This window comes from Homo sapiens, chromosome 4, assembly GCF_000001405.40.
Source record: "Homo sapiens chromosome 4, GRCh38.p14 Primary Assembly".
NCBI classification, from domain to species: Eukaryota; Metazoa; Chordata; class Mammalia; order Primates; family Hominidae; genus Homo; species Homo sapiens.
The window spans coordinates 111,919,263-111,934,504 of NC_000004.12; the positions used below are offsets into that span (position 1 = coordinate 111,919,263).

Genomic DNA, 15,242 nt, shown 5'->3' on the forward strand with positions numbered 1-15,242 from the left:
CTTGTCCTTGGAAAAGGCTGAGACTTATGTCTGATCTATACCTAACAACATATAAAAGATAAATTTGCCGTCTATTCATAACATCACATTTCCTATGATAAATGATAAGCATACAATGAAAGCATATAGATAATGCTTAGTGTGCCCTGTTTTAGAGTGTTTGGAAAGTAACACTTTCTATGTGCAACTCCACAATTATGTGCTCATGAATTCTGATCAGATCAAAAATAATTAATCCAGGACAATCTGCCTGTACCTCTCTTATAGTCAAGTTTTAGATTGAACAAGATTTTGCCACTTTTATCATCTATCATCTTCACCACAAAGTCATTATAAAATGCATCTCTAGTATCAGATAAAAATTTATAGGTGTTTCCACTGTAGGTTGCACCAAAGAGTTAAAACTTCTCAACACATTATACATATATTCATACATAGGGCCAAAGGGATACCATTCTCATTTTTCATCATCAAAGCATTTATAAGATTTCTATCTTCTTTTGCTTTTGTGACCTCTAGCCAGAAAGGCCAAAGTAAATAAAGGTCAAGATAGATGTCAAATCAAGCAATTACTAAACAGGGAACTTGGCTGTGACCCTCAGATTAGAAATGGTGACCTGTCACAGCAACAGGGGAAAACCCTCCTGCAACTCCTCTCCCATCTATGAAATACAATCTAGATTTGCAGCCTAGACTGAAAAAAAATTGATACCTTTCATTTGCGTTTTAATCTTTTCCACCCTTCATATTGGGGTTGTCCTCCCATTTTCTCCTTAGCTGTCAGCTCTGAATCATAGACATTTGAGAGAAAAAATTAGTGGGCATCTGTGCTAGGGAGGGAAATCATACCTATCATGAAAAATGAGAATGAGCCAGCCCAACACAAAATGTTGTAATATCACTTTTATTCATACAACTTTATTTGGAGCTGCATGAAAATTAGACAATTTGTGTAATAGCAGTGATTTCAGTCAACAATTCTCATATTTTTTTCTGTAATGGGCCACTTGTAGGAACAAATTTTTGGAATATTCTTTGGGAGGTGAGTAAAATTTCCAAATTCACTTACATATGTGACCCTCGATTCATGTTATTTCTACAATTTCATTTTTTCCTCTTTGGCCCCCCAAAACTGCGACTCTTCACCCAGCTGCCATGTTGAAAATACTGTTTTTATTACCCATGTCTAACACCACAACCCACATTCACTGCTGAATTCTTCTACCTTCTTAAACCTGTCATTTTTCAAAAGACCTGTATTTGTCCTTTTTTTATTGTAAAAAAAAGAACATGAAAAAGATTTACTCATGAATTTTGAGTTGAGGCAGAACAAAAAAGAGAACTTTAAGTCAAAGTAATAGTTTGATAGAGAGTCTTACAAAGAGGTTCTTTGCTTTTTCTTTTACAGCTTGACTTTCCACAATTCACAAGGGAATACTGCCGATTAAATAAAAAAAATTTAAGCCATGTTTTCTAGTAAATAATTAAATTCAATTAGAAGTTAATGAATTTTCACTGTTAAATGTAATTATTTTCAGAAAAAATTAATAGTCAAATAAATATATTTTAAAATCTGATTTTGAAATAAACTGATAGAAAAACTATGAGGGGTAGAGACTAATTAAAAAACAAACAAACAAACCAGAAAATGACATAACCATCACTCTGTTATTGGAACATAAGCCTGGAAATCCACTGAGGAAGAATTATCCAGAAAAAAAAAAGAAACTTGGAAAGTAAAGTCTCATTTTTCAAAAATTCTTACATTAGTAAACTTCAAATGTGGACCTTAAAGCAAGAATATAAACACATTACTATAAGGTCATTTTCATTTAGAATTTCATTTAAACCCAAGTCTTCACTGAAAAAAACAGTAAAGTTTAAGAAGTAATTTGAAGACTTTCTGAGCTGCACAATTCAGATACATGAAGCATGAGGATAAGTTTCAACATCAAGGTAACAGCCAACGTGCTTAAAATTCTGTATAAACCACACCTTTTAGGTCAAATTATTTTTTGCTGCTATGTTCACTGCTTTCACTTACTTGCCCAAGGATTCTGATCAGAGATTTTAGTGGCACATTTGGCCTATTATTATTATTAGTTCTTCTAGTTACCAAAGAAGCTAAAGCAGTGCATGCACTATTAATGGTCGGTTTGGAGAGTGTGATAGCCCCCAAGTGTTCCTACATGGATTACTCTAACTTCGGAATACTATTTATTCCAAAAGTATCAAAACACAGGTGATTGCAGGGGTGAACTCCTGGAAATTTAAAGTTGTTTCTTTGGGGAAAAATCATCTTGATTTCTACTACACACATTTACATCTTCAAAATTCCCAGATTTGAGGCTAAACAAAAGAACTTAGCTAACTACCACCTTGAATTACTCTTATTTCTTCATTGTGTCTGCGGTTAATGAAACTGTGAATGAATAAGACTGAAGATGCAATGGTGATGGCTTGACGTATTTTTTTTTTGTTTTCTTAAGGGGTGTGGCCAGATTTAAAAAAAAAAAAAAAACTTGTGTACTAAAAAATAATTGTCTAAGAGTGAGAACCTGTCATTTAAATAGGAGTGGATTCCCTCTAAATTTCACCCTAGTGGCTCTTATGAATCATAGAAAATGGGCAACTCCCTGTGGCTAGCATTCCTTCTTTCCACCTTTAATGACGCCAATTAGCCTGGGTGGGGTTAACAGAGAGGTTACCTTACATATGAGGCCATTTTAGTAATAAGTTTCCCTTGGAAAAGGGTCTGTAGGCTTCAGGCAAACTAAAAATAAAGTTAGACAGCTTAAGGATAGGGAAAAGTTAGACTTCAAAATTAGAAAAATACGTAAACATTACTAATCAGTGTTTGTTCATAGTATCTTCTTCACACTTTTTGAAAACTCTGAAAATCACTCAAGAAGACATAATAAATTTCTCTGCAATTATCACAGAGCACTGAGAATAACAAAAGTGAGTTAACTTGTTTGTTTTAAGCCCCTATCCTTTCTGGAAGTATGGTTCTCAAGGAACTAGACAAAACATGATTATTGCATTACATATCTAAATGAATTTAGAAGACTATATTTCTTCATAATTAGTCATTTTCATCTTGTCCTAAAGTAATATATTTGTTCAACAACACCTTTAATAAATTGGGTTTTATATACAATATTTTTTCTAAAAACCTATAAACACCCCACAAATCAACGTCCATTCTTTACCAAAATATCCTCAGAACCAATCTTTAAATATGCAGTGAAAATCCAGACTTGTAATAATCTTGGACAATTTCTGAGATAAATTCATTTGATCCTCCAACAGCCTTATAAAGTAGGAAAAGTTGGTAATTTTTCCATTTTAAAGATGAGAAAATTGAGATGCAGAATGATTTTGCCTCTGGCCTCAAGCTAATTATTGAAAGAGTGGGTTTGATTCCAAGCCTCCTGGATTCCCATATCCCCCTTCATGTTCACCCTCTTAATATGTAATTCATACCCCCAATTTTTTATGTAGTTTGTTTGTTCTTTAGAAATTCAGAGAAAGCACATGTAAGTTGTTTAAGACTTCACAGGGACAGAGAGCTTTAAGCAAAGCCTTAAAAGTGGGACCAGGGGCTGGGCGCGGTGGCTCACACCTGTAATCCCAGCACTTTGGGAGGTCGAGGTGGGCGGATCATAAGATCAGGAGTTCGAGACCAGCCTGACCAACATGGTGAAACGCTGTCTCTACCAAAAATACAAAAATTAGCCAGGCATGGTGGCGCATACCTGTAATCCCAGCTATTCCGGAGGCTGAAGCAGGAGAATCCCTTGAACCCGGGAGGCAGAGGTTGCAGTGAGCTGAGATTGCGCCACTGCACTGCAACCTGGGCGACAGAGTGAGATTCCGTCTCAAAAAAAAAAAAAAAAAAAAAAAAAAAGTGGCATCAGGTAAGCTAGGTGAGGGGACAGAAGAAATGCCTGCCAGAAGGGGAAAAACAATAGTTACATTAAAAATACCTACAAAGACATTTTTAAGCACATGATTTTATCAGACAATGAGCACTTAAACTACATTATCTTTTACTTCTCACAATAGATACTAAGTTAAATACTTCCTATTAGGAAACAGGCTTAGAAAACTTTTTTTTCTTTTTCTTTTTCTTTTTTTTTTTTTTTTTTTTTTTGCCCTAGGTCACGGACTTGGGAAATGACCTAAGCAGGAGCTGAATTCCATCCCTGGTCTGTTTGGCTCCCAAGCCATGCTCTTAACCTCTATATTCTAGTACTTCCGGAGAAAAGTCATGAGAATGAGCAGGGCATATGTGAAGATAGCCTGACTGAAGAAGAAGAGTTCATGTTGAGTGTGGAGGAAAACAAAGGTCAACAGGCAGATTGGGACCAAGTTAGAGAGTGCCTGGAAACTCACGAAAAATTAGATTTGATGTAATAAGAAATGAGACTTCCTTATAGAATTTTTGAACTGGAAGAAGGATGATAAATGGAAGTATTCAAAGACGTTTCTTTTATGGCAGGAAGATTTGGAGAGAGTACATGATGACAATAAGGGTACAGTTGGGAAACTAATCTAATGGTTCAAGTATGAAATGATGAAGACCTAATCTGGAGTGGTCAATGTGATCATGAGTCAAAAGAACGAATCAACATAATTTTGTAACTAATTAGATGCAAGGACTGAAGCAGACGAAGGATGAGTCAAAGATGACTGGATAGTTTCAAGCCTGGGGACTGAAGAGGTGGCGCCACGAAGAGTTAAAACGAGGAAAGAACATGCGGTGGGAGGGCATGAGTTTATGTTTAGGTATGTTGAATTTTAGTGACTGCTGAGTAGGGACTTGGACATGGAATTCATGTTCAGAACACAATACATAGCCATTAGAAACAGGGCACTGTGCAATAATAAAAGTCATCTGAATTTACTAGTGAAGAATATGAAAAAGAGAGAGTAGAACTGAGAATTTAGGCTATGGAGTTTCCACAAATAAGCACTCATGAGAAGAATGAGGAGGCATTCAGGAAATAAGGAAGACCAGTCAGTTTCTTCCTTTTATGGGGTTTACAATTTACTTGAAGAGGCATCATTAGCATACACGAAGTAACATCAGTGTAATTTTTCACCTCCACTGGAATTTAAGCTCCAGGAGAGCAGAGACTACTACCTAAAATAAGATGTAGCATATTTTAGGAATTCAATCTCTATTTCTTGGAGAAATGAATCATTTATTGTCCTATATGTCTCAGCAATTCGCATAGTGCCTGGCAAATAGCTGATGCTCAGTAAATTTTGTTGAACAGAATTAAACTAATAATTTTATCTTTATTCCTAAGGAGATCTTATCTTAAATATTGTTAACTAAGAGCTTTCAGACAAGTAAACTAAGTATTCAAAGAAAAGACACATTTTTGAGCCACTATAAATAAAAAATCATAGAGAAAGTGATATTTAAACTGGCCTGGAAAAAAAGGAAAAATCTAAAATAAACAAAAAAGGAGGAAGAACAGGAAAGTAATAGTTACTAAGGCAAAAAGGCAGAAATATATTTGAGATATCTGTACATCAGTTAAATTTTTATATGAATGAAGGATGTGAGTCAGGGAACCATAAGAAATACCATCACTGAGGTTGTGGTGCATAGTAACCGAGAAGTATACTACACACATGTATGACTGACTATAGATAATAAGAGTGAGAAATGAGTTGAAGACCATGCAAAGGTCTGTGACCTGGGTGACTGTAAGAATGAGGGCACTGAGAGTTCTGGTGGAGTAAAAGATGTGTTGATTTTAAACATGGATGCCTCAAGGTCTCAATCAGGAATCATTTTCACTCAAATCAACTCAAGTGAAAATGGGGCTCATTAAAGATAAAACAAAATTTTGTAGATAACACAGAAAAGAAAAAAATGTACGGCTTGGCCACATGAGGGCATTCCATCTGGAAAGTGAGGAAGTAAAGCTGATGGTCCTTTCCTGGGTCCTTGTCTGGCAGATCTCTCAGCTCTGATTCTCTGGTCCATTTTCCTCTGCTTTTTCAAGGCATCTCTGCTCCCCCAAAACTTTCAGCTTGAATGTGATTTTAGCTTGCCATGATGCCAACTCTACATGAACATCCAATTTTTTTTGTTTTAATTCTGAAAAGTGTCAAAGTTTATCACATACTTTCACAAGAAAAGTGCTATCATTGCTCTATTTTCTTGTGAAACTATATGAAGTCAATAATTATCCAAGTAAGCAAATGCATTTTATGTTTACTATCAACTTGAAGTATACATATGGATTAATTATCCCTTCAATTTTATACTCATTCATGTATTGCCTGTAAAGGCCTACTTTTTAAGTCCCATATTAACTAATATCAAAGTCAACAGATATAATTCATTTCATCATTGACAGCAATAGCCTAAAATGTATTAGAAAATAATCATTGAAATGCATCTGAAAGAAGAGATAGAAGTGACTGAACTGTTTAACTCACAAACCACAGCATGAAAAATTGAATAACCCAGAATTTGGTTAAATAAGAATAGCCCAGTAGCATTGAACACTCAATAATTTCATCTTTTTTTATCTTAGGTGGCTTTATTTTATATCCTTTCAATAAATGAAGTTAAATGTTTTCTCAATTAAGATCCACCAATGGTCTCTGAAAAAGCATGGGAAGAAGTGGCAAATAGGCTGAGTGAATGTTCCTGAACTCTTATGTAATAGAAATTGGTAATTTATATCCCATGATATATGACTGATCTTAACTAATGTCTGCATTTGCTTTTCTAAGGAAAGCCAAGATTGATTTTAGTCATTTAAAAGAGCAAGAGAGATTCAAACATGCCTTAGATTTCAAATGTTTGTTTTAACATTTAACAGGTACTATAATAAAAGATTCAGAAGAAAGAAGTTAATGGAGTATGAAAATAAAGAATTGTCTGTAGAGAATCACTTTGTGATATTTCTCTTCTTCGTGAGCTTTAATAATCCAGAGTTAACTTTATTATCTTTACATTCTGCTTGAAATATGCTAGCAGCTACACTACCAAATATAAAGCAATAATTGAACCTGAGTGCCACCAAGATACAAGTAGGCAAGTCAAAGACAATAAGAAATGATAAATATGAAGTATTTATTCCACTGAAAATGGGTTTTCTGACAAATGCTGTGATTTCCTGTTCCTCTTTAGAGGTTCATAAGATAGATCTTACAAACTGATCTATATTCGCTAAAAGACAAAAATGGCAGCCCTCATTTGCCCAGTACACATCACCACCCACACTGGAATTAAGGTATAATCTCTATAAACTGAATTTAAAAACCTATAAAAAATGGTAACTAAATAAGCAGAGCCAGTCAAAATCTTGAAGGGATTTCATGGCTTCAGGAAAGAGGTGAGGCTCCACCTACACAAAAATTCTCTCATTTGTGAGCCAATTGTCTGAAATTTCGTTACCAGAATTTTATCCCTCTAGTTGACAACTTTGATCCTTATGAAAGTGTTTATTCTTCTGTTGGGGATAATAATTCTCCCTGTTCCCAGAGACAAATCCTGACTACTTAATTTTGCCAGGTCTAGTTTTGCCTGTGAGCTACATCTTTTGCACATGACATGGTCAAGTCCAGCAAATACTTCAGGACAAAAGGTCAAAGATATCTCTAAATTGTGGGCTGGAAAAACAAACTATATCAAATATTAGTCTGAAATAGTTTCATAGAACTTATGTTTATAAATATTTCATAAGAACTAGCTGAGACCATTTTAGTTTTATTAAGTTTTATTAAGCTACAAACTGTGAACTAGTGTTTTTGTATTATTCTGTGGTACACAAGGCCATTGGATCCAAATTTTAGACTAAAAGAAGAAATTTTCTTTAAAATATAATTAAAATTATATGTATTTAAATTTTACAGAAAGGCAGAAGATACTACCAATGCCTAATCCTCCTTCAAATAACAACTTTTTTCATTCTTCATATACGCCTGTGATAATCCATGTAGGAAAAATGATAAAAGACCACATTGATGTTTTCTAAATATGAAGAAAATAAAGGACAATTAAAATCAGTAAGTTTATCATCATCAACAGCAAAAAACACACATATATAATTGGCCTAACCAGGTAAGACCTGCTTTGTTGTCTTATATCGTATTGCAAAAACATAAAGGTCATCAATACCTAGTTGTACCACAAGTATTTTCTAATTGGTTCACTTATCCCCTATTTACCTCCTGACAATTTGTAAAAGCCCATCTTTATGTTCCTTTTATAATTTCAACTTTTATTTTAGATTCAGAGAGTACACGTGCAGGTTTGTTCCTTGGGTGTATTGTGTGACACTGAGGTTTGGAGAACAAATAATCCTGTCATCTAGGTACTGATCATAGTACCCAATAGGTAGTTTTTCAGCCCCTTGCCCCTCCCTCTCTCCCCTCTAGTAGTCCCCACTGTCTATTGTTGCTATCTTTATGTCCATGTGAACTCAGTGGTTAGCTCTGACTTATAAATAAGAACATGCAGTACTTGGTTTTCTATTTCTGTGTTAATTTGCTTAGTATAATGGCCTCCAGCTGCATTCATGTTGCTGCAAAGGACATGATTTTATTCTCTTTTATGGCTGCATAGTTTTTCATGATGTATGTGTGCCACATTTTCTTTATCCAAGCCACTGTTGATGGGCATCTAGGTTGTTTCCATGTCTTTCCTATTGTGAATAGTCCATAAACATACAAGTGCATGTGTCTTTTTGGTAGAATGATTTGTTTTCCTTGGGTATATACCCAGTAACGGGATTGCAGGATCAAACGGTAGTTCAATTTTAAGTTGTCTGAGAAATCTCTAAACTGCTTTTCACAGTGGCTGAACTAATTTACATTCCCACCAACAGTGTATAAACGTTACCTTTTCTCCACAGCCTTGCCAATATGGTTTTTTTTTTTTTTGACTTTTTAATAATAGGCATTCTGACTGGTGTCAGATGGTATCTCATTATGGTTTTGATTTGCATTTTACTGATAATTAGTAATGATGAGCATTTCCTCATGTTTGTTGGCCACTTGTATGTCTTCTTTTGGGAAGTGTCTGTTTGTATCCTTTGCCAATTTTTTAATGGGGCTATTTGTTTTTTGCTTGCTGAATTTTTTAAGTTCCTTATGGATTCTGGAAAATAGACCTTTGTCAGATGCATAGTTTCAAATCCTTTCTCCCATTCTGTAGGTTGTCTGTCAATAGCTTTTGTGTGTGTGTCTTTTTTGTTTGTTTTTGCTGTGCAGAAGCTCTTAATTAGGTCCCACTTGTCAATTTTTGTTTTTGTTGCAATTGCTTTGGAGGACTTAGTCATAAACTCTTTCCCATACCAATGTCCAGATTGGTATTTTCTAGGTTTTCTTCTGGGATTCTTGTAGTTCTTGGTCTTAAATTTATATCTTTAATCCATTTTGAGTTAATTTTTGTATATGGTGAAAGGTAGGAGTCCAATTTCATTTTTTTGCCTATGGCCAGTCATTTATCCCAGCCCCATTTATTGAATATAGAGTCCTTTCCCCATTAAAACCCCATCTTTAAAGTGTTAAAGTTTTTCTGAAGATAAAACATTATCAGGTTCAATTTAATCTTTTAGGACAGAAACAATTTTGTTCATTGTTTCTTCTGATTTCAACAGTAAAGAATACAAACATACATTACTATTTCTATATGAATAAATGTGCCAATATGCACTGATAGCAGATCTTTAATGTAAGCTAGTCCAGTATAAAAGCAGAGATTAGCTCTCCATTAGCTCTCCATTTACCACCAATATTCAGATATCACTAACAGTTTTAAGGTATCTACTCAATGTGAAAATCTCAATTATATTATCTGAAATTATTTGAATTAAGAAGGAGCCTTGAGTGAAGTAGCTTCATAAAGCAAGTGTGTATTGGTTTGATGGACTCATTCAGTGTTGAGTAAATATTTGATCAAGTTATAAGATTTATATTTCAATCTATTCCATGTCTTCAATTCTGTAAATGTAGTTTATAAAAAACCTTATAATATTTTTGTACTTAATGATTACAGAACCTGGAAAAGTCATGTAATTTCTCTGACTCTCACTTTTCCCATTCATTCATTGAAGAAAATAAATCACAGCATTTTATATGGATTAAAATAAATGAAATATTAAAGTGCCTATTAAAAAATAAGTTTTTAGTAAATATTTACCTTTATTATTATAAATGTCAAAATATAGCATTTCAGAGGAAAAATAAAAGTAGCATGATAATATTACTTTTAAACCCAGGAATTGAAATCACATACATTCTTGGGCTGTCTTCTTTTTCCTTCCTTAGAACTACCCAGGGATCCATGTAAATCTAACAATTTCACTTGTTCTTATATACCTGCATGAGCTTGGGGTATAGACCAGAGGATCTATTGACCTTATGGTCTCTTAATTATGGATTTGGTTTCATAAAGTGATACCAAACTAGAGAGTATCAGTATTATACTGCCAGAGCTATGTTGATGACCTTTCCTCATTTAAATCTGGACTGATTAAACCTTAGATAGCTGCTGATTACTTGTTTTTGACTCTAGGATTGCTGAGAAGAAGATTGATCCTGTTTCAAGAGTAGTCTGCATCTTGTCTACCACTTATATAACACATTAAATACCTTTTTTCTCTCCAGTTCTCCTATCACTCTAACTTTACCTTCTAACATAGTGCTAGATGCATCCTAACCCTCTAAGTCTGCTAATCACACACTGTCTTCTCCTCTCACAACCTACAAGTTAACTTCAAGCACTTATTACACAATTTGATCTTTTCTTTCTATTATTTCAGTAAATCGAAGGCTCCACTTTGAAGGATCCTCCTCTTAAAATCCTTTCCCCTGGACCTTTTCATTAATATATTCTATGGTCCAAGTTGTAACCTGGGTGGTATTCAAAATAGCAATGATGACCACTATAATTTTGGTATTTATGGATAATAAAATGAAAAAATACAGGCCAGGATTAACCTTAACAATATAAAAACAAACAAGCCAGGTGCAGTGGCACACAACTATAGCTTGGGCCCCAGAATTCAAGACTGCAGTGAACTACAATCACACCACTGCGCTCTAGTCTGGGCAACAGAGCGAGATTCCATCAATAAACTTTTTAAAAATTTTTTTAATAAAATAAGTAAATAACCATGCTTAAGCATAATGCAAAGGGTCTTGATAATAATAAAACTCAGATAAATTGAAGATGAAAATAACTTTTATCTGTAATTTAATGTTAGTTCCAAGCTTCAACAGAAAATGTCATCTTATTGTATAGCTTGGTCAAACTTTGAAGAAATAAAAGGAAATGATACATGCAATCTCCCCACAAAAGCTAATTACCCTCAATGAGTTTTCCATAGGCTACAGTATTAACAGCTTTTCGTAGACTACAGTATTCCTTTTATTAAGAAATAAAAGGAAATGATACATGCAATGTCCCCACAAAAGCTAGTTACCCTCAATGAGTTTTTCGTAGGCTACAGTATTAACCTAGTTAACCCATCTTTCATGAGCTTGTTGCAGAAATGAGGCCTGGCCAACCATCTCTGCATGTGTTTGGTTGCCTGTACATGCTTGCTTTTGTGGTTGAAACTCAAGTGCTTCCTCCCACACAATGGAACAGAAAATACTTTCATTTCCTGAAAAGGTAAAGTATCGGCAAAATTTCATATTTATTTTATATATTTGTTTTCTTTTATTTAGGTTTACATTTACCTATTTGATAGATTCTTCTATTTCTATCTTAGCAGAATCAGAAGTTTACATTTATTTAACCAGTTTCTCAAATTTGCCGAGTATCATTTACATATTTTTAAAAACTATTCATCTACACAAGTTCTCTGGGTTTTGCCTAAATTCTCTAAATATTTTCTGAAAATAGGCAAAACAAGGTAACCAAAATCTATCTTTTGTGATTTGTAGTCTCAGTCTAACATATACTTCAATTTGGCCAAAGTATGTTTTTGTTTTCCTACTACATACGGAGCAAGGCAACATTTTAACATTTATTTATGTTAAGCCTCAATATAAAAAGGATTTGAGTAGTTTACAAATGACAATGTAATTATATAATAGTAATACACACCTACATTATGTGCCAGGGAGTGTTCAAAGATTTCTGCATGTATTATTTCATTTAATTTTCCTATGACCTTATGAGGTCTCTCTATTGTTACCCTCCTCTATTACAGGAGAGAAAGCTGAGAGAGGCTAACTAACTTGCCCAAGATAAAAAATTGAACAGCAACTAGGATGAGATTTGAACCCTAGTGGTCTAATTCTAGATCCATGCTCTTGCCATTAATGACAGAGAAAGAAAAGATAGCCAGGGTTAAAGTCAGCATAAGAAATGTGCATTGAAAATGTTGTCTAACAGCAAAAAGTAAATCAGACATTTGGCTCTGATTTTCTGGAAATCGAAGAAAGAAAACGACATTATCAGGAACAAAATACACAGTGCCCATAAAATAAAAGACATATCAACAACTCAGAAGACACTTGGCTTCTCCTAGCTCTAAAATCTGGTGGACATTATGAGAAAAAAAAAGAGTATTCTAAAAATAATAATAAATAAACAAAAAATGGAGCACCTACTCAAATTGCCCTAGAAGAAAACTCAGGGAATAACACCAGAACCTAGCTCAGAGGAGGCACATTTTTTAATGCTCCCAAGCAATGTTATCCAAGTAGGTATGCCTGATGATGTGGCTTGATCCCAGAGTAAAATTTAGATTATCTCAAGGAATGTATAGACTACATCTTCTATGGCAATCTTCCCACATATAACAATATGGAATCTCAGAAGTTACTGAACATCTCATGAGTTAGGAAGCAAATACTAATGTTACATTCACTGGTAGGAGAGATGGACCTATTTTATCCTGCTGACTTGGAACATAGCTATCTAGTCAATTGTTCAGCAAAGCAGAAGGTAGGAAGGACACAAATCACTTAACTACTCTAAGTTTCAGTCTCCTCAGCTGTAAAATAGAGAATAATAGTACCTCCTTCATCATGTTACCGTGAGGATTAGATAAAAATCATGTACAAAAAGCTCTTAGAATGGTGTCTGGTACTATACGCTGATTAAAATGTTAATTGTTACCAATAGTAGGACTACTCCTAAACCCATATTTAGAAACTCTAAGGTGGCCCTTCAAAACTTTATAAAACCTAGCAAATTGGAACCGAATATTATGGCTTAAGGAATTAAAAGTAAAATCTTCATTTTGTCCCAGGAATTAATTACTACTCAAGATCCAGCTCTGGAAAATTATATGTAGATTTTGTGATCTTTGTTACTTTTTCAAAATGTTTTAAATTAGGTTTAAATTTTTGTGAAAAAAGTAATGATTTTTTTTCTTTAATTTAGTTGTCTAGACAAAATTAAACTCTTGAACCTTTTACTCAAGTGAAGATGTATTTCTGTCCAAACTGGGACATTGTTGAGAGTGAAGTGGGGCTGAAATAATTAAGTGCCATTAATTGATCTACAGCAGGTGTAAACTGGGGTATTCCAGCAAATGAAGGATATGTTCACTTTGCTTATGCTTTATTCTATACATGTCAATAATAAAGAATAAATGGTTTTGCATTATCCTTAAAAGACATTTGCAAAGGCCAATTAAACCAGCATTTTTAATAAAATCATAATCATATTTTATGTCAATGTATTAATCTCCAAAACAAATCAAGTATTACCACTTAGATGCAGATTCAAATATATCCCAACACTTTGTGCAAAAGATAAGACTTTATAATAAATTCCAATAGATTATAGTGCTCATTAGTTTGATGTCATAACTGGTCATTTAATATTATTCATATTTATTTTAACATCTATTTTTTTCTTATTTGTAGCATTTATGGACAGATAAATGCCCAATATAGCCCTTCAGAGATTGTGTAAACATGTATAATAGAATCAGACATGTCTCATTCCTTCTTTTTTTTTTCTTTGAACATGCTAATTCAAGGAAAAAGAAATGTTTCCAGATTATTTAAATCAAATTTTTCTCTATAACAGGCTTTTTGTGTTTGCATTGCCATCCCTCTGGTTTATTCTTTCTACAGTCTTCAAAATCTCATTATCACTTAAATAGACAAATCATAACGAAAATTAAATATTTATCTAACTTTTCAGATTAGTGATATTTGAAAAAATTTAAAAATAAATATAGAGTAATAGGACAATGAGAAAAATTGAAAAATAATATATGTAACCAGTAAGTCATACCAAAATATTTCCTGTGCATAATTTTAAAATATAATTTATATTCAAATGTTTAAAAAGTATCTTTTGCAGAATATTAATAACAATAGTAATAGAATAAATAAACTATGTCCCAATTGAATGAGATTTTACTTTGTGTCAATAGAAATTAATTGATAAGGGATTTACAGAAAAAAAAGAAACTGATATTTCAAGGGGAAAAAATATAGCAAAAAAAATGAGCTATCATGTAGTTATTCTTGCAAACCATGGATGCCATTCCCAACTTCACTTCTAATCTTTGAACTACAAGTATAATTCCATGCTCAACACTTGCGATGTCGGTCTTTTCTGTGAGAACCTGAGCTCTGTGAGAGCAGGAACTGTTTGTTCACCACAATATCCTCAGGACATTACAGGGCCTGACATTTATTAGGCACTCAATAAACATTTGATTGATGAATATAAAGCCCAACATTTAGGTTCCACACTTCAGTATCTAAAGTCTAGGATCATCATAGAGTTCATTCTACTAACAAGAGTGCTCACTTTAATACTAATTATAACCCACTATTTATTGCAAATTGTTTTTCCCTGCAGAAGAATGTCTAAGTCAATCTTCATTGTGTATCTTTGCATTTCATGGTTTGCTTGCATGAGTCTTCCTCCTATATTACCTTAAATCATACCAAAATAAAATTCCTATTTTTCATATTTTTGACAGTTTTTCTTTTTTTAATTTTCAAATTCCCTATTCCAAGAAGCAAGATTTTTAATATTTTTAAGAGGGAGAAAATAATATAATGTTCAAAGACATCACAGCTATCTGAGTATATGTATAACTAAAAATAATTTTTTTTTCTCAAAATATCAAGTAATTGTTGTTCTATACAGTCTAATGTTTTAGTACTGGAAATACCCAGAGAGACTCTTAATCCACTGGGTTAGTGAGAGATCTATGAATAGCTCTTATTCATCAGTCTCAAACAGGATAATTGACTGCAGAGCCCAAGACAATAAA

At 33.6% G+C, this 15,242-nt stretch overlaps 2 long non-coding RNA genes across 6 annotated transcripts in view; one reads left to right on the forward strand and one right to left on the reverse strand.

Annotated features, from left to right (window-relative positions):
* LOC105377369 (uncharacterized) overlaps positions 1 to 4,434 on the forward strand; it is a 77,408-nt gene extending 72,974 nt beyond the window's left edge. For both annotated transcript variants that reach the window (XR_939077.3, XR_939076.3), the window contains exon 4: positions 4,164 to 4,434. This is a non-coding gene — a long non-coding RNA (uncharacterized LOC105377369). The remainder of the gene's footprint in view (positions 1 to 4,163) is intronic.
* The window catches only part of LINC02945 (long intergenic non-protein coding RNA 2945), a 308,805-nt gene that overhangs the window by 115,797 nt on the left and 177,766 nt on the right, over positions 1 to 15,242 (reverse strand). The window lies entirely within an intron of this gene.